Genomic DNA, 23,570 nt, shown 5'->3' with positions numbered 1-23,570 from the left:
GGAGCCTTATAAGTAGGTATAAGATGAATTCCAAGATAGACCAGGCCAGTTTTGCCACAACACACACCTTCCTGTGTGGTTCACTCCTTCTCTCTTTCTGCTTTAACTAATGTTTCTGTCTTCTCGGTCTTCATTTTTAAGTTTAAATTGTTTGCTCTTTGGCCTGCTCAGCTAAAGCTTGTTTCTCTGTCTGGGTTCATGAATAGGTGTAGCTAATTTGCTTCTAGCTGTTACTAAGTTCCTGTGTGTCTGTCTTGACAAGAAGATTCCTTTGCCATCACTCAATTTAGAGCTAATTGGAGCCTTTCATTTGTGGCCAATTATAACAGTTAATTAAGCTTAGGTAAATTTATTTAATCTTTTTTCATAAAATGAAGAATAACTCGATTTAGTAAAAAAAAAAAATTTCCTTTCTCTCCTATTATCAACAGCTTGAAGACACTATGAAATAGTGAAGTTACTTATTTTCTTATTCTGAAATTGCAAATAGATTTTCAAACACTTAAGTGCTTCCATTTTGATCCTTTCTGGGATATTCATTTAAATTCCCCAAATGTTTATTGAACCCTACCACTGAATCCTAGTGTGGAAATCTACCAGGGAACCCAACCAAAATATAACATACAGGTTCTGGCCTCAATAGTTAATAACTTTGTAGGGCAGAAGACCATATACACAATTATTAATAGGGGCAGAGTCTATTAAATACCAGAAAAAATTAACATGTATTGCAAAAGATAGACTACAAAGAAAAGGTTAAGTCTAGCTGGGAAGGTGGTGGTGGGTGGTTAGGGAAGACTCAGAGATGAAGGTAGAAGGAAGGGTACAATTTCGGCAGGAAGAAACAGTGATGAGAGTAGAGAAGGCATTTTAGGGGGACACAGCTGACTAGGCCGAGGAGTGGAGGTGGGGAGAGCAGACCTTTCCGGGGAGAGCCCAAGTTAGTTAGATCTTGGAAGGTGAGGAAGGATATTGCTCAGAATGCAGCTTGGACCTTGGTCATGGACAGGGTTGTGTTCATGTCAACTAGTTTATACTTCACTCCATAGCCTGCATGGAGCCACTGAGAGTTTTTAAAAAGAAATAATATTGTCAGAACTGTGCTCAGAGCAGCTTGCTTGGATGATATTGCTTCAAGGGGTGGTTAGCAGGGGTGGGCACATGACAGCCCCGTGGACCAAATCCAGCCCACCATCCGTGAGTTAAGAATAGTTTACATGTTTTACAATGGTTGAAAGAAGTCAGAAGAAGAATAAAATTTTGTGATACATGAAAATTAAGTTTCAGGATCCAGCAATAGAGTTTTATTGGAGCACAGCCACATTCGTTTGCTGATGTATCATCCAGGCTGTTTTTGTGCTACAACAGCAGAGTTGGGTGGTTGCAACAGAGACCATATGGTTCACAAAGCCCCAAATATTTACTATCTGGCTCTTTACAGGAAAAATTTCTCAATTCCTTGTCTAGAAGTCTAGTTTAAAGAAAGCAGACTTTGGACAGCTAGAAATTTCAGGGAAAAAATGTGAAGTACACAGAACTAATACTTGTTTAGCCTTGATACCTGAAATTTTGCTGTTCATTATGGCCTAACAAAGTATTTTTTATCATTCATTTATTGTTCTACTCACCCCAAGCTAGCCAGTTAGTAACAGGTTTACTCTTGCAACCCTAGCCTCCAAAGTAGAAAACAAACAAAAATGCAATCTCTAAGACTAGGCAAAGGCAAAGAAAGCACTACATTTCCTTTCCCTTTGGAAAGTGGAGTGAGTCATGGCTCTTTCACCTGCTATGTCACCATGGGAAAGCCACATAATTATTCATTTTCTCATCTGTAAATTGAGTCAATAAAATCTTTCCTTCCTACTTCACAGAGAATGAAAAAATACAAGATATATTACTCTGTAAATATGTTTCAGTTAAAACATATGAAAAGTAACAGTTGGATTCAACAATTTTTTTGTTTGTTTAGACAGTCTCACTCTGTTGCCTAGGCTGGAGTGCAATGGTGCGATATCAGATCACTGCAACCTCTGCCTCCCAGCAATTCTCGTGCCTCAGCCTCCTGAGTAGCTGGGATTACAGGTGTGTGCCACCATGGCTGGCTAATTTTTGTATTTTTAGTACAGACAGCATTTCACCATGTTGGCCAGGCTGGTCTCAGACTCCTGGCTTCAAGTGATCCACCTGCCTCGGCCTCCCAAAGTGTTGGGATTACAGGCATGAGCCACCATGCCTTGCCTCATTCAACAATTATTGAGCACCTACTATGGGCAAGGCACTACTGTAGGCTTGTGGGAAACACATTAAAAAAAAACACAAAGAATGCCTGCTCTTGTGGGGCCTGTGTTCATTGTTTTGAAAATGTCATTTCACCCTTTCTCTCTTCTATCCCTGTCCCTCTCTGTTGGCAATTCCTATACTATGGAAAATTGTTCTGATCATACTTAATTGTAATGATCTTCTATTGAAGTTATTATATGCTAAATTCAATGGACCCTGCTCTGACACAAGGGTTTTTCTTCTAGTCACCAATTCTGAGGAAGTGAAACTACTATAAATTATCATTAACATTAGAGAGGGGAACCAGGCAGTCATCTTATCCATGGTAAGAATCAATTTAATTTGCCCAGATTTGTTTGAAGTTTTTAGTCATGGAGGATGTAAAGATTCTTTCCTAAATGCAGAAAATTTTAATTTATCTTCACCAATATCAGACAGTAATGCATTATAAAAACTCAGATGGACTTTGTGGAAGCGATCCCAAAAGGCACATTCTAAGATGATGATGCAAAATAACAAGTTATTTAAACAGTCATATGGAAGTATTTTAATAAAATTTACAGTTGAAAGATCACTTCTGCAAAAAAAACCTACTTTTAGATGTACTTCAAATTCTTAATTTGAAAAATATTTTCTATTGTATTTACTTCCTTGATGTGTTTATATATGAAAGTTTATCTCATTTTATAGTGGGGGATGGACACGAAGGTAGAAATTTATCTAAAAAACATATTTTTCTCTAATAAATTGAGATCTAGATTGTGCTAAATTTAAATAGTGATTGTGATGTTTATGAAAGCATGTCTGGAAGGCAGCTGTGTCTGTTGGTCTGGTGCTAAGGAGGAAGATCTGAGCTGCAGCAAGAGATGGACTTGACAATACGGACGTGGATGAGCACAGCAAATCCAGGGAGAGCAGGCAGAGTGAGAAAAGGAGGAAAGCTAGGCTGGAGCCCTGAGTCTGATATTTAGGGGAAGGAAAGGGGAGAATATCCTGAAAAGTGGACTGAAAAGAAGCTGAGAGGTACGAGGAAAGCCAGAAAAACGAAACATTACTGAAATCAAGAGAAGAGAATGTTCAAAGAGAAGCTGGTGGCCTAGAGAGTCAATTCTTGCTGAAATCTGACGTAGGGTCAGGCCTTAGAAGCGTTCTCTGGGTTAGCAATAACAAGTTCGGGGGAGATCTTCCAAACAGCATTCTCAGTGGTATGCTGGGTGCAGCAGCCAGAGTGTGATGAGTGGGAAGTGAGGAAGTGGATGACTATTCAACAAATGGTGTTAGAAAAAGAACTTTTCAAAGGGAGAATCAACAGATGCTCACTAAATGTCTATTATATGGCAAGAGTGTGAAATAAAAACAAACAAGAAACTATGTTCAAGTACTTGTCCTCGAGGAAAATATAAGAGAAGGATGTATTTGAATGCAGCCTAAAGTTCACTGCCATTTTCAGAAATAGAAATGTGAAGAGAAAATTAAAAATACTGGAAAGGGCACTAGTAGAGGTCTAAGAATAGAAGATGAGGACACACACTGGGGAGCTGTGAAAGATAGTCCAGTGTGCCTTGAGCTGAATTTTAGAAAAAAAAAATAGCTAAGATTAACCAAGGCAAATCAGAGAAAGGAAAAGTCTGAAAGAAGGAACGCTGATTAGGAAGCTCCCTGCCATGGGCACGTTTTCATCTGAACACCTTCAAGTTCATCCTGTTTTAAAAGCAATCATCGCCACACCTTAAAACCCCCACCTTCAGCTACATATTTCTATCCAGCCAGTTGTATGCTCTTCTCTTTACAACCAAACACTTTTGTTTGTTTGTTTGTTTTTTATTATACTTTAAGTTCTGGGATACACGTGTAGAACACGAAGGTTTGTTACATAGGTACACATGTGCCGTGATGGTTTGCTGTGCCCATCAACCCGTCATCTACATTAGGTATTTCTCCTAATGCTATCCCTCCTGTAGCCCCCCACCCCCTGACAGGCCCTGGTGTGTGATGTTCCCCTCCCTGTGTCCATGTGTTCTCATTGTTTAATTCCCACTTATGAGTGAGAATATATGGCGTTACAACCAAACATTTTGAAGCGTTTCTCACCCATGCATGCTTATCTCCTTTCAAGGTCCTGTTATTTAACCCAACCTACCTTTTCAGTTATATCTCCAGGTGCTTGTCTGTGGAGGCAGGGCGATGAAAGGGAATGCGGGTTGCTGACCGGGCAGTCACAGCACCTGTCCAAGGCAGGCCTCTGTGGTTCCGTTTGGCAGGAGCTCTCTGCACTCTCCGTTGCTGCTGCCCCCAACCCGCTACTCTTTCCTCCCTCTGATTTAAATGTCATTGGGCTTCCAACCTCTTCAGTCTTCCAGGTATGTTTTGAAACCTTTGTTCAGTGCTGGTCCCCTATGTGTCCTCTTTGCTGTAACGTTTATTTCCTTACTTTGGGGCCTTGGAAGGGTTCAATTTTGTTTTTGAAAATAATCTAAGAGAATACACATAAAGAAGAAAATAGCTTTTTTGAAATCCTCTTATATTCCTAATGGGATACCTTAAAATGGATTTACATTCAATGATTAAATATATCTTCAGTTGTATACATGTTAAGTTCTTCCCTCCTTGGGGTCTTTGCCCTAGCATTCTCTGTCATACTCACCAAGTTCTCTTCTTCCATTGTGGACAAGTATGTTACATTTGGAATGCTCCAATGTTTGTGTATTCCCAATTCTCTTCTCCTCCTATCCTCCAACATATCATTGGGAGGATTAAAGTAAGAAGGTAAAAAAAAGGATGAGGAGGAAATGGGATGATTTGGGCATTTTTTCATTTAGAGAAACATGGAAGTGTATTGATTTATCTAGTTTGTGGTTAACTTCTGGAAAAGTTAGCTAATGGTTGACTTAGTCGGTTTGGGGCGCTATAACAAAATATCCTAGACTAGGTGGCTTATAAACAACAGAAATTTATTTCTAGTCCTGAAGGCTGGGAAGTCCAAGATCAAGACACTGGCAGATTCATTGTTTGGCAAGAGTCCAATTCCAAGGCATCTTTTTACTGTGTTCTCACGTGGCAGATGGGCAAGTAATCTCTCTGGCGTCTCTTTGATAAGGGTGCTAATCCCATTCATGAGGGCTCCACTTTCATGAACTAAATACTTTCTAAATGCCCACCTCCTCATACCATTACCTTGGGGGCTAGGTTATCAACATGTGAACTTTGGGAAGACATAAACATTCAGACCCTAGCATTCTCATTTTTCTCCTTGTCCCCCCACACCAAATACATGACCTTCTCATATGCAAAATACATTAATTCCATCCCAAGAGCCTCAAAATTCCTAACTCATTCCAGCATCAACTCAAAAGTCAAAAGTGCAAAGTCTCATTTAAATAGCAGCTAAATCAGATATGAGTGAGACAGCCTCAGGGTATGATAGATCCTGAGGCAGATTTTTCTTCACCTGTGAACCTGTGAAATCAAATCAAACATGTTATATGCTTCCAAAATACAATAGTAGGACAAGCACAGGACAGATATTCCCATTGCAAAAGTGAGAAATAGGGAAGATAGGGAAGAAGGAAGGAGTGGTAAGTCTTGAGATAATTCCAAACCTAAAGGCTCAAGAATAATCTTCTTGGAGTCATGCTCTGCCTTCCAGATACATTGAAGCTATGGTCCTACCTTCTGGATGCACTCCAGCTGCAGCCCTGCCCCAAGGGTTTGGGCACCCGCAGCCCTGCAGCAGCTCTGTGCCTGGGCCCTGCCCTCATGCAGTTCTCAGTGGTGGCTTCAACTCCTCAGCAGCTGTGTGCCTTGGGTCACATGCCTGAGGCTCTCTGGTGCTGGAATCACTTCCCATTGGTTTTATCAGTCTAGGGTTGCAGGGGCAGCCCTGCACCCATGGCTCCACTGGGCATTGCCCCAACAGAGGCTCTCTGTAGTGACTCTGGGCTCTTATACTCTTGGCTTGTAATGGGAGGAACAGCCTGAGGATTTCTGAATTGCCTGTAGGATCATTCTTCTATTCATTGAACAACAGGTCCTGGCTTCTGTTTAGGTAACTGACTAATCTTCTTGGTCATTTGGCTACACTCTTTGTGTTTTCTCTGGAATAAGCTCTTTTATTCTTTTCACTATGAATAGTCTGGTAATGTTCCAGATCTTTAAGTTCTACTTTTCTTTTAACAATTTTATCTTTACATCCTTTTTCTCTTCTTACATTTACTATAAACAGTCAAGAGAATGCAAGGCACACCCTCAACACTTTGCTTAGACATTTCCTCATCCAAATATTCAGTTTCATCATTCACAAGTTTTACCTTTCATAAAACACTAGGACATGAACACAATTCAACCAAGTCCTTTGCCTCTTTAGAGCAAGGATGGCCTTTCCTCCATTGTCCAATAACATGTTCCTCATTTCCATCTGAGGCCTCCTCAGAAAGGCCTTTGCCATCCATATTTGTGCCAAATTCTGTTCAGGATTATTTAGGTATTCTCTAAAATGATTAAGGCCTTCTCTGCAACTCTCCTCTTTTTTTTTTTTTTCAGAATTATCTTTAACTGTTTGTGGCAATGTAGGCTTTTTCTAGCATGGGTGGCAATAACAAAATGCTTCAGACTGGGTGGCTTATAAACAACAGAAATTTATTTCTCACAGTTGTGGTGGCTGGGAATCCTATTCTAGATTAAGGTGTCAGCATATGTGGTATCTGAAGCGGGTCTGCTTCTTAGATAGTCATCCTTTCACTGTGTCCTACAGGGCAGAAGGGTGAGTGATCTCTTGGGAGCCTCTATCATAAGGGCATTAAGCACATTCATGAATGCTTTTATCTCATGACCAAAGGCCCTACTTCCTGATACCATCACCTTGGGAGTGTTTATTTTAACATATAAATATTGTGGGGACACAAACATTTGGATCATAGCAGTCAGTGAGAAAAGAAATGAGATTGCAGCCCCCACTGTCTTTCTCACATCAAGCCCTGAATCATTCGAGTGCGCGCGTGCGCACGCGCGCGCGCGTGTGTGTGTGTGTGTGTGTGTATTTGCTTACTAGCCCTAGAGAAGAAAGGATTCCAAGGCTGTTGATGTCATAATGCCAAAATATCCAGATGAAAAAGTCCAATACTTGTGCAGATGTTTCAAACACATAATGCTGAATATCGCAATTTATGGAAACATTCAGTGATGATTCTTTTTTTATTTTGTTCTTGATGTTTTGGCAAGGTACAGTTGCAGCCTGATTTGCTGAGTTTAAGAGCCAAAATCACATTTTCTGTCTAAGATTATCAGATTGATACTCTAGAAAGGGTTTCTTCATAACCTAAAGATGTATACTTTCTTCTCTTAGAGTACTCATCTAACATAAATAATTTTTCTCGCTTCTATTACTTTTTAATTCAACCAGAACAGATAAAAAAGATCAATAACACAAACAAATCCTCAGAAATTGCTATGAAAATAAACAAACATGTATTACTAAAAACAAATGGTGTAAGTTGGGACAAAATTTTAAAGTAGAAATAAATGGTCCTAAGAAATTTTTTTAGGAAGTTGTGAATTGTTTTCTCATATAAACATATTAAGAATTAATAACACAGCCTCTCTCAACTATGATCCATTTCAAGAATGCTGTGAGTTGGCTCCAACTATCCAGGTCCTCAAATATCTGACACCCTGATTCCACAGTCGGATCTTGTACCAGAGGAACGTGACACCAGAGTTCTATTTGGAACTCTGAGTTTCATTAATCCTACTCAGCCTCATATCCATGTCATGCTGGGTCACTGCCCAGACTGCTTGCCTTTGTGGTCATCTGTCTTCTTCCTTATGCCCCAAACTGTTCTTGGTTTTCTGTCCTCTGACTCATCCTTCCAACAGTCTCCTCCTATCTGAATCCTTAATTATTTGTGGGGAAGCAAGGAAAAGAACAAAAGTTCCTCAGTCCTTTTTAATTTTTAATTTTTGTGGGTACATAGTAGACATATCTATTTATGGGGTATATGGGATATTTTGATACAAGCATACAAGGTGTAACAATCACATCAGGGTAAATGGGGTATCTATCACCTCAAGCATTTATCCTTTGTGTTACAAACAATCCAATTATATCTCTCGTTAATTTTAAATGTACAACTAAATTATTGTTGACTATTAGTGACCCTGTTGTGCTATGAACTACTACATCATATTTACTCTATTTTTTTGTACCCATTAACCATCCTCACTTCTTATCTCCCCATAACACCGTCAGCTCTGATAACCATCATTCTACTCTCTACCTCCATGAGTTCAATTGTTTTAATTTTTAGCTCCCACAAATAAGTGAGAACATATGAAGTTTGTCTTTCTGTGCCTGGCTTATTTCATGTAACGTAATGACCTCCAGCTTCATCCATGCTGTTGCAAATGACAGATCTCATTCTTTTTTGACTGAATAGTACTCCATTGTGTATATGCACCACGTTTTCTTTATTTGTCTGTTGATGGACACTTAGGCTGCTTTCAAGTCTTGGCTATTGTGAATAGAGCTGCAATAAACATGGGAGTGCAGATATCTCTTCGATATTGCTTTGATTTGCTTGCTTTTGGGTATATAGCTAGCTGTGGGACGGCTGGATCATACGGTAGTACTATTCTTAGTATTTTGAAGAACATTTAAACTGTTCTCCTCAGTGGCTGTACTAATTTACATTTCTATCAACAGCATACAAGGGTACACTGTTTCTTCACATCCTTGCTGGCATTTGCTATTGCCTGCCTTTTGGATAATAAACCTTTTTAACTGGGGAGAGATGATATTTCAATGTAGTTTTGGTCTGCATTTCTCTGATGATCAATGATATTGGTTATCTTTCCATGTACCTGTTTGCCATTTGCATGTCTTCTTTTGAAAAATGTCTATTCATATTTTTAGCCCATTTTTAAATTGGATTATTAGATTTTTTTCCTACAGAGTTGTTTGAGTTCCTTATGTATTCTGGTTATTAATCTCTTGTCAGACAGATAGTTTGCAAATATTTTCACCGATTCTGTGATTGTCTCTTCACTTTGTTGATTGTTTCCTCTGCTGTGCAGAAGCTTTTTAACTTCATGTGATCCCATTTGTCAATTTTTGCTTTGGTTGCCTGTGCTTGTGAGGTATCACTGAAAAAATCTTTGCCCAGACCAATGTCCTGGGGAGTTTCCCCTAAGTTTTCTTGCAGTAGTTTCATAGTGTGAGGACTTAGATTTAAGTCTTTAGTCCATGTGGACTTTATTTTTGTGTATGGTAGGAGATAGTGGTCTAGTTTCATTCTTCTACATAGGGATATTCAGTTTTCCCAGCACCATTTATTAATGAGACTCTCCTTGCCCCAGTGAAAGTTTCTGGCAACTTTGTCAAAAAATAGTTCACTGTAGATGCATGGATTTGTTTCTGAGTTCTCTATTCTGTTCCATTCATCTATGTGTCTGTTTTTATGCTAGTGCCATGCTGTTTTGGTTACTGTAGCTCTTTAGTATAACTTGAAGTCAGGTAATGATTCCTCCAAAACAAAGACTCTTGTTCTTTTTGCTCATAACTTTGGCTATTCTGGGTCTTTCATTATTTCATATAAATTTTAGGATTTTTTTCTGTTTCTGTGAAGAATGTCATTGGTATTTTGATAGGGATTGCATTGAATTCATTGATTGCTTTGAGTAGAATAGACATTTTAACAATATTGATTTTTCCAATTCATGAACATGGAATATCTTTCAATTTTTTATGTCTTCTTCAATTTCTTTAACCAATATTTTAGTTTTCACTGTAAAGATCTTTCACTTCTTGGGTTAAGTTACTTCTTGGGTATTTAATTTTATTTGTAGCTATTTTAGAAGGGTTTACTTTCTTGATTTCTTTTTCAGATTGTTTGCTGTTGGCGTATAAAAATGCGACTGATTTTTGTATTTTAATTTTGTATCCTGCAACTTTACTGAATTTATCAGTTCTAATAGTTTTTTGGTGGAGTCTTTAGGTTTTTCCAAATATAAGATTATATTATCTGCAAACAAAGGAAATTTGACTTCTTTCTTTCCAATTTGGATGCCTTTTATTTCTTTCTCTTGTCCAATGGCTCTGGCTAGGACTTTCAGCACTGTATTGAATAACAGTGATGACAAGTAGGCATCCTTGTAGTGTTGCAGATCTTAGAGGAAAGGCTTTTAGTTTTTCCTCATTATGATACTAGCTGTGGATCTGTCATATATGGCTTTTATTATGTTGAGGTATGTTCCTTCTATCCCCAGTTTTTTGAGAGTTTTTATCATGAAGTGATGTTGAATGTTATCAAATGCTGTTTCAGCATCAGTTGAAATGATCATATTCTTTCTGCTTTTCATTCTGTTGTTATGATGTATCACATTGATTAACTAGCATACATTGAACCATCCACACATCTCTGGCATAAATCTCAGTTGGCCATGATGAATGATCTTTAGTGTGTTGTTGAATTTGGTTTGTTAGTATTTTGTTGAGGAATTTTGCATCAATGTTTACCAGAGATATTGGCCTGTAGTGTTCTTTGTTTCATGTATTTTTGTCTGGTTTTTGTATGCAGTTAATACTGGCCTCATAGGATGAGTTTGGAAGTATTCCCTCCACTTCTATTTTTCAGAGTAGTTTGAGTAGGATTGATATTACTTCTTACTTAAATGTTTGTTAATATTCAGCAGTGAAGCCATCAGGCCTGGACTTTTTCTTTGCTGGGAAACTTTATTATGGCTTTGATTTTGTTACTTGTTATTGGTTTGTTCAGGCTTTGGATTTCTTCATGGTTCAATCTTGGTAGGTTGTATGTGCCTAAGAGTTTATCCATTTCTTCTAGGTTTTCCAATTTATTGGTATATAGCTGCTCATAGTAGCCTCTAATGATCTTTCAAATTTCTGTGGTATCTAATGGTAATGTCTCCCTTTTTATGTCTGTTTTTTTATTTTTAATTTTGGTCTTCTCTACTTTTTTTTTAGTCTGGCTAGAGGTTTGTCAAATTTATTTACTTTTTCAAAAAACCATCTTTTCACTCCACTGATCTTTTGTATTGTTTTCTTTGTTTTAATTTCATGTTATTTTTGCTTTGACCTTTATTATTTCTTTTCCTCTACTAACTTTGGGTTTGGTTTACTCTTGCTTTTCTGTTTCTTTAAGAAGCATCATTAAGTTGTTTATTTGAAGTTTTTCTTTTTTTTTTTTTTTTTGATGTTGGTACTTATAGCTATACACTCGCCTCTTAGCATTGCTTTCACTATATCCTATCCAATAGGTTTTTGTACTTTGTGTTTCCATTATCATTTGTTTCAAGAAAATTTTCAATTTCCTTCTTAATCTCTTCAGTGACTCACTGGTCACTCAGGAGCATATTGTTTATTTTCCAAAATTCTTCTTACTAATTTCTACTTTTATTCCATTAGGATCAGAGAAAATATTTGATACTATTTCAATTTTTAAAGAATGTTTAAATACTTGTTTTCTGGCCTCCCATATGGTCTGTCCTTGAGAATGATCCATGTGTTGAGGAGAAGAATGTGTATTCTGCAGCTGTTGGATGAAATATTCTATAATATCTATTAGGTTCATTTGGTCTATAATGCAGATTAAACCTGATGTTTCTTTGTTCATTTTCTGTCTGAATGATTTGCTCAATGCTGAAAGTAGGGTGTTGAAGTCTTCAGTTATTAATTTATTGGGGTCTCTCTCTCTCTCTTTAGCTCTAATAACATTTGTTTTATATATCTGAGTGCTCCTGTGTTGGGTACATATATGTTTATAATTGTTATATCCTCTTGCTGAATTAATCCCTTTATCATTATGTAATGATCTTCTTTGTCTCTTTTTAGAGATTTTGTCTTAAACTCTATTTCTCTAATAGAAGTATAGCTATTCCTGCTCTTTTTTGGTTTCCTCTGGCATGGAACATCTTTTTCCATCCCTTTATTTTCAATTTCTGTGTGTCTTTACAGGTGACATGTGTTTGTTGCTGGTAACTGATCACTGGGTCTTGTTTTCTAAATTTGTTTAGCCACTCCATATCATTTGATTGGAGAGTTTAGTCCATTTACATTTAATGTTATTATTGATAAGTAAGGACTTACTCCTGGCCATTTTGTTATTTGTTTTCTGGTTGTCTTATGGTCTTCTCTTTCCTCTTTCCTTCCTTCTTGCCTTCCTTTTAGTGAAGGTGATTTTCTCTCGTGGTATGTTTTAATTTCTTGCTTTTTATTTTTCATGTATCTGTTGTATGTTTTTAGATTTGAGGTTACCATGAGACTTGGAAATAATATCTATAACTCATTATTTTAAACTGATGACAACTTCACACTGATTGCATAAACAAAGTAACAAATAAGCAAAAAGAAAACTAATACAATTCAACACTTTAATTTCACCTTTCTGCTTTTTATGTTTTTGTTGTTTCTATTTATATCTTATTCTATTTATATTTCTATTTCTTGAAGTTGTTGTAGTTATTATTTTAATGAGTTCATTTTTTTCACCTTTCTACTTAAGATATGAGTAGTATACATACCACAATTACAGTGTTATAATATTTTATGTTTTCCTGTATACTATTACTAGTGAGTTTTGCACCTTTAGATGATTTCTTGTTGCTTGTTAACATCTTTTTCATTCAAATTAAATAAATCTCTTCAGCATTTTTTATAGTACAGTTCTTGTGTTGATGAAATTCCTCAGCTTTTGTTTGTCCGGAGGTCTTTATGTCTCCTCATGTTTAAAGGCTACTTTCACTGGATATACTATTCTAGGATAAAAGTGTTTTTCCTTCAGCACTTTAAGTATGTCATGCCACTCTCTCCTGACCTGAAAGGTTTCCACTGAAAAGTCTGCTGCCAGGTGTTTTGGAGCTCCATTGTATGTTATTTGTTTCTTTTCTCTTCCTGCTTTTAGGATCTTTTCTTTATCCTTGATCTTTGGGAGTTTGATTATTAAATGCCTTGAGATAGTCTTCTTGAGGTTAAATCTGCTTGGCATTCTATAACCTTCTCATATTTGGATATTGATATCTTTCTCTAGTTTGGGGAAGTTCTCTGTTATTTGAATAAACTTTCTACCTCTATCTCTCTCTTTATTTTCTATTTAAGGCCAATAACTCTTAGATTTCCACTTTTGAGGCTACTTTCCAGATCTTGTAGTTGTGCTGCATTCTTTATTCTTTTTTATTTTGTTTCCTCTGTGTATTTTTGAATAGCCTATCTTCAAGCTCACTAACTCTTTCTTCTGCCTGATCAATTCTTCTAGAGACTCTGATGCATTCTTCAGTATGTCAATTGCATTTTTAACTCCAGAATTCCTGCTTGATTATTTTAAATAATTTAATATCTTTATTGAATTTATCTTACAGGATTCTGAATTCCTTCTCCATGTTATCTTGAATTTCTTTGAGTTTCCTCAAAACAGATATTTTAAATTCTATCTAAAAGGTCACATATCTGTTTCTTCAGGACTGGCCCCTGGTGGCTTATTTAATTCATTTGGTGAGGTCATGTTTTCCTGTATGTTCTTGATGCTTTTGAACGTTCGTCAGTGTCTGGGCATTAAAGAGTTAGGTATTTATTGCAGTCTTCTCAGTCTGGGCTTGTTTGTACTTGTACCTCTTGGGAAAGCTTTTCAGGTATTCGAAGGGATTTGGGTGTTGTGATCTAAGCTATTGGCTACTGCAGCCTTATCTGCTTTAGGGGTCACCCCAAGCCCAGTAATGCTGTGGTTCTTGCAGACTCATAGAGGTACCAGCTTTGTGGTCTTGGGTAAGATCTAGAAGAATTCTCTAAATTATAAGGCAGAGACTCTTGTTCTCTTTCCTTACCTCTCTCACACAAATAAAGTCTTTCTGTGCTGGGCTGCATGGAGCTGGGGGATGTGTGACACAAGCACCGCTGTAGCCACTACCAGTGGGACTGTGCTGAGTCAGACCCGAAGCCAATACAGCACTGGGTCTCACCCAAGGCACTGTGAAACCACTACTTTGCTACCACCTATGTTCATTTAAGGCTCTAGTGTGCTACACTCAGCAGGTGGTGGAGCAGCCAGAATTGTGTTCTTCTCTTTGGGGTGACAGTAAGTTCCCTCGAGTCTTGGGTGGATTCAGAGATGCCATCTTGGAGCCAGCCTGGAGCTGGAAACTTTAGAAATCTACCTGGTGCTCTATTATTACTGCAGTTAAACTGGCACTGAAACTACAAGACAAAGTCCTTTCCACTCTGCCCTACCCTTACCCCAGGCAGAGGAATGTTTCCCTGTGTGCACCACCACCTCAGGCCCACAGGGAGTACTTCCAGGGTACTGCCAATGTTCACTTAAGGCCCAAGGGCTATTCTGTCATATTGTGGTGAATGCTGCCAGGCCTGTGACTCATCCTTCAGGGAAGTGGGCCCTCCTCTGGTGCAGGGTATGTCCAGAAATGCCATAAAAGAGCCAAGGCCTGGAATTGGGGATCCCAAGAGCCCACTTGGTACTTTTCCCCACTGTGGCTGAGTTCATACTTTTCTCAAGCAGAAGGAGTCTCTCCCTGTAGTCACTAGAGCTGTGAATATGCTAGGTCACACCTGAAACCAGCATGTCTCAGAGTCTCACCCAAGGTCCACAGCATGTACTACCTGGTTATCACCACTGATTATTCAGAGCTGAAGGGCTGTTTAGTCAGCAGGTAATGAATACTGCCAGGACTGGTTTCTTCTTTTCAAGATAGTGGGTTCCCTCCCAGCCCAGGATATGCCGAGAAATGTCATCTGGGAGCTTGGTCCTCTAGTGGGGCTCTCACGACTCTGACTGGTGTCTTTTCCTGCCTTGACTGAGCTGGTATCAAAGTTGCAAAACAAAGTCCTCTTTTCTTTTCCTTCTCTTCTCCTCAAGCAGAAAGAAGGGGTTTCTTTAAGAGCTGCAAGTTGTGCTGCCTGGGGTTGGGGGAGCAATGATGCAGGTGCTCCCTTAGCCACCCTGGCTTGTGTCTCACTAGGTTGAGTGCCCTCCAACTCCACTGGCTCTGAACCTAGCACAGCACTAGGACTGGTGGCCTAGACAGCCTTTCAACTTTATTTAGAACTTTATTTAGAACCCCAGAGCGCTGTAGCCCATGGTGGGGAGGCCTGTCAAAACTCAAGTTCGAACCCCTGGGATGGATGATTCCCCTCTGGTTATGGCTGGTCTAAATGCTCCCTCCGTGGGCATTGGCTGAGTCCTGCCTGGTGTTGGCATCACTGATTTCCAATGCAAAGTCCCACAGTCACTGCACTCTCCCTTCCCCAAGTGCACAGATTCTCTCTCTGTGCTGTAAGACTGCTGCAGGGGGAGAGGGGAGGGGTAATTTAGGCAATTTAAGACTGTCTTTCCTACCCTATTTAGTGCCTCTTTCAGTGATAGGAAGTTTAAAACCAGGTACTGTGATTGCTCACTTGATTTTTTCTTCTTATGAAGGTGCTTTTTTTGTGTGTAGATAGTTGTCAAAGGTGGTGTTTCTGCTGCGAGGATGATCTGTGGAGACTTCTACTGGCCATCCTGCTGTGCCCTCAGTCTAACTTTTGAAAGAGCTAAGGTTCTCAATTTTGTTACCATCCATGTTTATTTTTTATATACATCTTATTGTTGCTGTGATCAAATAGACAACCAAGTATTGTTTCTAAGACACCTATGATTCTATCTTAACCAACTGTCCAAATTTCCTCTGGCATTAAAAAAATTTTTAACTTTCTAAAAAAGGGGTCCTAAATATAGAAAAAAAAAAGCCCACAAAACGTTCAGGCCATCTTTTATACCTAAAACTATCTTTGAGATTTCCCAGATAGCCCCTGGAAAATTACAGATATTGTTTCTTTTAGTTTATAAAAAGAGAGATGCTGGAAATTAACTAGATTTGTTTGATGAGTTGCATGGGAAGATTTGTCAAATCAAGAGAGACATTTAGCCATCCCTGTGCTAACATTGTATAGGTAAAATTTTATTAATATTAATTTATCAGAAATTGTATGTTTTATGGTGAAGCCCTGGTATTTGTCAATATTTTCACTGTCCACAATATATTTTAACCCTAAGGAATAACACTGATAAAAACTCTAAGAAATAATTGTGTCAGGTTTTCCTATACTTACGAATCCTGGTAGTGCTTTACCTGTCTAATGAGCTGATGATTTCAGGCAACCACTGCATAATCAGTAATAATATTAGTAATTATTTAAAATTGTACTTGGATGAAACCTTATTCTTTTAATTTTAATGTAGTATTTCTAGTCTAGTAGCTCTCAATTGGGGATGCACATAAGACTTACTTATAAAGTGTTATAGCAGTACAGCTCTCTACACCCTACTCCAGACTTACTGAATCTTTTCACTTGTTATTCTTGGTATATTAGAAGTCAGGATAATTGTATACTATATCTCAAGATTTTTTCTCTATAAAAATTGTTTACCCATTTGTATAAATCAGATGTAACATTCATTGACAATAGACTTAATTGTTGTCAGGCACAGAAAGACAAATATTGCATGTTCTCACTCATACATGGTAGCTAAAATGGTTGATCTCATGGATGCAGAGAGAAGAATGATGGTTACCAGAGACTGGGAAAAGTAGTTGCGTATAGGAGGGGAGGGGTTGGTTAGTGGGTACAAAAATACAGACAGAAGGAATAAGATCTTGTATTTGGTAGCAGAATAGGGCAATGCAGTTCAAAATAATTTATTGGATATTTCAAAATAACAAGAAGCATGGAATTAGAATGTTTCTAACACTAAGAAATGAAGTGTTTAAACTGATAGATATCCCAATTACCCCTATTTGACCCCTACACATTTTATACTTGTATCAAAATATTACATGTATCCCATAAATACTACAACTATTTATTGTGTATCCATAAAAATTAAAAAATAGACAACTATTATCCCCAAAAATATTTTATCAAAAGCAATTTAATGGCAATGTGGAAGTAAGACCCATCTTCTTCATATGTCCCACCACACTCAAGGGGAGGTGATTATAAAGGGTAAGTGCACCACTGAGCAGGAATCTTGGCAGCCATCTTACTTCCCAATCCATCCCCATCAATACTTAAATCAGTGGAAATGGTTTTTTTAATCTTTAATTTATAGTTCAGTTGCCACTTTCAATTTTTTTAGGATTTATTTCTTTTTATAACTTCTCATAATTCAGGGTTGGAAGAGACATAAAAGTGATGTCAGGCTTGTCCGCTTTGTGACCCACACTCTGCTAGTTGTCCTCTCTGCTTCTTCCTGCCTCTGCTACTCCATCTCAGCCTCATTCACTAGTTCTTTGAAAATCCCTTAATATTAATATTCTCTGGGGTTCCATCCTCATCTCTCTGTTGGGAAAAGCTGAGTGTTGGGAGAAGCTGAGGCAGGGCTTGCATGTCTGACATAATGTAAAAGAGTCTTGGAACATGTCTGGGGTACAGAGCCTAAAACCCCTTGTGGCCTTTGGAACACCAAGCTCTGTGCTAAAGTGTGGAAGGCTACCCTGACACACCATAATCTAAGCCCAGGGCATAAAACCCCTCATGGCTTGAATAGAATCCAGGGCTCATGGCTCTGGAATGTGTCTAGACTTGCTGGCTCCTTGCTCCTTGCTCTCCCAGGATCGACTGTATCTTGAGTTAAAAGAACCTGCTTTCCATTATCTCAAGCAGAAGAACATGTTCCATGTGCCGCAAAGGAAATGCTAAACCGTCACAGCTGTAGATCATGTGCTTGCCCTTTCGACCCCCACATTCTCACACCCTGTTTCTTTGTTTGATCACCAATAAATAGTCTGGGCTTCCAGAGCTCAGGGACTTCACAGCCTCCATACTTAGTGTTGGCCTCCTGGACCCACTTTTTCTCTGAAACTGTCCTTTCTCATTCCTTTGACTCCACCGGACTTCGTTGCCCCCACGACCTGATGTCGGGCCCGATCACCCCAACATTCCTGGCTGCCCAGTGTGGGGCAGCAAAGACCCCAGTGAAGGAACGCTAGAGTGTGTAAAAGCAGAGGATGCATTGTCAAAGGACACCCGAGGACGACTGAAAGAAGCTTGGTGGGAAAGCTGAGTGCTCGGAAGAACCGGGGTGACAATGGGACAAAGTGAAAGCAAACATTCTGCTTACTTGAATTTCTTGAGGCATTTATTATGAAGAGGGTTAGGCACGGGGTAAGACCCAGTGGAATCTGAGGCTTGTTTATTCAGAGGGCTCCATTTAGAGAAAAAGAAGAGAAAGTGAGGACTTAGAAGGAGCCTGGGCAAGTAAAGTCATCTTGAAGCTTCAGTTTCATGGTTAACCTGCCTCTGCTAGAGAAAAACAGATTTAATGAGTACAGAGGCATGATATGGGCTGCATGTAAAGAAATTTGGACTCAAGGCCCCAAGGAATATTTGTCTGAATTGTGGAATATGCTTGAAATTGGTATGTTAGCAATTTTTGCAGCATCATTCATTGCAAGATTCAGGGCATTCTGGCCTGCTTCCAAAGCCCAGAGCATCACTGATGAAAAGACAGAAATAAAGAAAGAGGGAGACACACTCAGAAAGAGGGCCAGAGAACACCCTGCAGGCAAAACCTCTAACAGAGCCATACAAGATGGGAATCCGGTTCAGAATTATGGTGTTCTGAAATCACAAAACTACCAAACTAATAAGGCTTAATGAGTCAGTATAAAAAGAACGAGTCTTCCCAGTTTGCGTTAAGCACATTTTTTGTTGTTGCTACATTTTGTCCTGCATATTAAAATAAATGAAATAATGTACTTAATGATGTGTTTGATAACCATGCAAAGCAGATAATAGCTGACTAGACATCTGTATAGTGCCACTTCCAAAGGCCAAAGTATCCTTCAGATCTTAAGGCTACCTTAGTCAATGGAAGTTTTCTCAAAGTCTCTCTACACTTGTCTACAGTTTTGAATGTGAATTACTGCACCAGAATCATAGGAAATCAGCTGTTAATCACACAAAAAGTCTCAATCTTTGACTAACATTTTTAAAAGGAAGTGACATTATTTTTCTCTACTGAAACTTGTTCTGCTTCTCTCCCTAAAAATATACGCCAGTTGCTAAGTATTCAGCATTGACTTTTCTACCACAGAATACCCATAACAACAGTAATAATCGCCTGCATTTACCGAGCACCTGATATGTGCTGGGTATTATTCTATTCTAAGCAGTTCACATGTAATAGCTCATTTAATTCTCATAAAAGTCAGTGTGTTCCCTATCCCTATATTATTAATGTAGAAATCAAGAGAAGAGAGGGTAAGTAATTTGCCTAAAATTATGCAGTTACTTGTAAATGACCGACCTTGGGTTTGAACTGCTCTATGTCTCCACAGCCTGTGTTTGTAACCGAGTTCTTCAGTCTCCCAGAAGGCAGTAAAGGCCACTGATATCCAGTGACCCCTTAGAGAGATTTTTGCCAGTATCTGGATGAAAGCCAACAGTGTTATGTGTGCCCGATACCAAAACAACTATGTTCCAAGAGTATAATTTATGATGGTCTGTGTGTGGCATGTGCGTGTGCTTGCAAGCACACATAACATTAGATTCTGCATCTAGCGTCATAAAATACAACTTGTTTTTCAAGCCCAAGTCTTGCCTAATTCCTTGCATCTGTAAGAAAAAGGCCTGGCATGATTTGCTAAGGCTCCAGGACCACCCTGATTGAGAGATTTCCACTTCTCCAACTCTCCCCAACTTCAACCAATGTAAGTAGATGTAGCTTCTTCAATGCTTACGCCCATCTTTCTCTTCCTATTGGCACCAGCTGGTTCAGACTTTCATTACTTCACCCCTGAAACAAGAAATAGCCTCTTTCTATTCTCACTTTGAAGCATCCTCTATATACTGATTCCAGGCTTATCTTTTCAAAACACTATGCTGATCACTAAATTGAACAAATAATTTTTGCATTGGCTCCTCATTTTCCAACACAGTTAAATAGGTGCTCCGTTCATACTGCTTCTCCACATTCTGTCCTCTGTCTTTGCAGCTTTGCCCCTATTTGCCACAAACACCCAGTACTCTAGATAATTTGGAATAGTCTCTATTATAGTTTATTTTCCCTGCTATTGCACATTTGCTCCTGCTGTTACATATACCTACAGTGCTCTATCTCAGCATTTCTGCCAGTCAGTAGTCCACTTGTTTTCTAGGTCTGAGTTCAAAAACCAATATCCTATATGAAGCTTTACCTGACAGTTTCACCCTTACTCCCACTTCCAGGAGAATAAATTGCCTCCTCATTGTTGATCTTCAAGGGCTTTTTCATCCTTGGAGCATAACTTTGTCTTTATGCTCTTGGTTTCCTCAGACCCTAATATAGTACCTAGTGTAGCACACAGCAGATGCTTCATAAATGCTGCATGAAATTGTTTAATAAACTCTGTACATATCTTCTCCAGCCAGAAATAATTTATTCCTCTGCAAACCTCCACACTTAGCACTTCTCTTCTGCTGCTTACTTTAACTCTTTTTCTATTGTTTTAATCTTTCTTCCTTGTCCAATCTCTCCTACACTTTATAAATTTGTTGTCGTTATGGGCCTTATATGATTTACAACACATGAAATCTTCATATAAAAATGCACTTGGTAAATATCTAGTGAAGTGAGTGAATGGAAATACAATTCACAATCCTAAACAGGTATACTTTAAAAAATTCTTAATTATGTCTTCTGTGCTAGATTTCGAACAACCCTATGCTCTGCTTAGCTGGATAATTACATGCATGTTACAGTTATGCTCCTTTCTTTCTACCTCAGACCAGAGCCATACTACAAGGTTGTATGGATATAAGAGTTTTGACATGTATTAGTAAGGCAGTAAACAGAGGGCTTCTGATGGGAGAACCCAGGAGACACAGAAAGTAGGAAGTTTATTCTTCTGACAAAAAGAAGTTAATAAGTGAATGAGACTAAGAACACGGGGAACCCTGAGAATGATGAGATATGACCCTGACTAGGGTAGGAGATAGGTGTCTTCAAAGAGTGGCATCCAGGAGACAGGGCGGGAGGAACAAGAACAGCTCCTCTCCTAGTCTAGGAGCAGCTCCTTGGCTAAAGTGGAATGGATGTGGCATCTTCAAGTTCTAGAGCTCCTAGAGCTGGCCTACATACAGCTTGTGGCAGAACCAGATGGAAGTATTAGATCACCTGAAAGACAGGTTACTGGCTACCCTATGCTCTGCTTAGCTGCATGGGGTTTGTACTACAGAATTCCTCATTTTGTAGAAGAGTTGATTGTTTATATGCTGAGATTTATGATGAAGGCATGGAAAGAAAATATGGAATATGATTGTTGTTGTAGGTGGTCCCACACATTTGATTAGAAGAGGAAATTCTATTGATCTTCAGATAGTGGCCATGCAAGATTCAGAGGAGATGAGGCCAGTCTCTGTATTGATGGCTTGCTATCTTTACTACATGGCCCAAGGCAACACTCTCGGTTGATTGTCCAGAAGGAACTGGCTCAGACTACTCTGCACTCTCTCTTGCTCACCTTTCTACCTGGCAGCTCTAGGGTTTGAGATTAGCACATAAACATTTGCCTTCCTCTCTTTTTTTCCTGGGCTTCTCTACAACATACATTGGTTATTTATGGGAAGCCTTTTCTTAGTTATAAAACATAGAGAGTCAGTATTAAGAGAATTCTTATTTCTCATGGAATGTCTTTCTTGCAAAGATAGAACTACTGTCCTCAGATGGCAGTCTATGAAAGGTCTGTAAATTATAGATCCTGTGGTTAATGATTTTTTCCAAGATGGCTCACAGTTAAAACTTACACTATTTCAGTTTCATTTTCAGTTCAGTGGTGGTCTTCATAAAAAAAGAAATATATCTTTTCTATACTCTGTACAAACTTTCTGACAGCCTATGTCTGTATCACACAGTGTTTTTTCTTTTCTTTCTTTCTTTTTTTTTTTTGATGGGACAGCTTTCTTTTTCTTTAGTTTGTTTTTTCTAAATTATGCAGAAACACAGCAGAAAAATAAAGACACTCATACACCTTCTCCAGTCTCTCCTGGGTCGGTTCATAGCCTGGTTACTTCCTTGAAGGGAGAGAATTTTGGTTCCCATCCAGCCAGCCCCTGAGTATCATTTAATTATGCACCTCACCAGGCTGTCCCCCTTCCCCCAGCTTAGCCCTTCCTGATGTCCTCTTAATCCAATTCCCATCTATTAAAAATGTTCCTGTCCTGGGCTGCACTTGTGTGCCGGGTTTCAAAGATGAGGGTGGACATGTGCGATCACACAGTGTTTTTTCAGTGCTATGATCCCTTAATGGATTAAAAAAACAGTTTATCCAAATTATTGCATGCCATGATTTTAAAAAAAATCCAGGTAGTATTGAAACACTTGTATTAAAAAACAGCAGTTGGTTAATCCACATCTCCCCATTTCAGTTTCTTTGTTTCTTCTGGGTTTTATCATCATCATGCTTTAAAAATATAATTCCTCTATCTTGATTTTTTTTCAACTTTAGCCAATGTTTATTATTGAAATTATTTAACTGTCTTACAAATCTTACATTTCTTAACCACTTCCCCTTGCCCCATTCTCCCAATTCAGCTATATCATAATTTCTAAAATTAAATTATTGGTCCATGTGCATATTGCTATAGGCATGCAACATGGACTACTGTCGAGTCAAGCATTGAAGTTTGAAATGTTTTCTTTCTAGTATACCTCTTCAGTTTCCTTCAATTTTTTGGTAGTTTCTCATGTGTCTATCCAACTGCCTCCTGAGATTTGTCAAATACCTATTAAATTATCACATTAGATATGTATTGATTTCATTCCCTCACATCCCCAATGAATCTCTAGCCTTGAGTTTTCTTTTCTTCTGCTCCAAATGACATGAGTTAATTTCTAGTTGTGAGTAGAGCTACCATCATGATCCTTCCATTTGCTGTTTTCCTGTGTTGTGCCTCCAGTGTCCTGGATCACAAAACTTCTTTCTTGATTTATTTCCTCATTTTTTTAAAGCATATTCTCCAGTAGTTTCCTAAGAAAGGGTGCATGGGTGGTTATTATTCTGAGTTTTAGTATGTCTGAAAATTTCTACACTCAGCCAACCTATCAATCAAATATGAATTTTTCACTCTCATATTTGATTGATACTTGGGCTGAGTATAGAAATTTTATCCTAACTTTTTTTTCTTCTCAGAATTATGTAAACATTAATTTATTGTCTTATATCTTACGGTGCTACATTGGAAAGTCTGATGTCATGCTGATTATGTATACTTAGGGTTTAAAAAATCTCTAAGAATTTTATTTTGGGTATTC

The sequence above is a fragment of the Homo sapiens genome, chromosome 12, assembly GCF_000001405.40.
Source record: "Homo sapiens chromosome 12, GRCh38.p14 Primary Assembly".
Classification (NCBI taxonomy): Eukaryota; Metazoa; Chordata; class Mammalia; order Primates; family Hominidae; genus Homo; species Homo sapiens.
Note: the sequence above shows the minus strand (reverse complement) of the source record.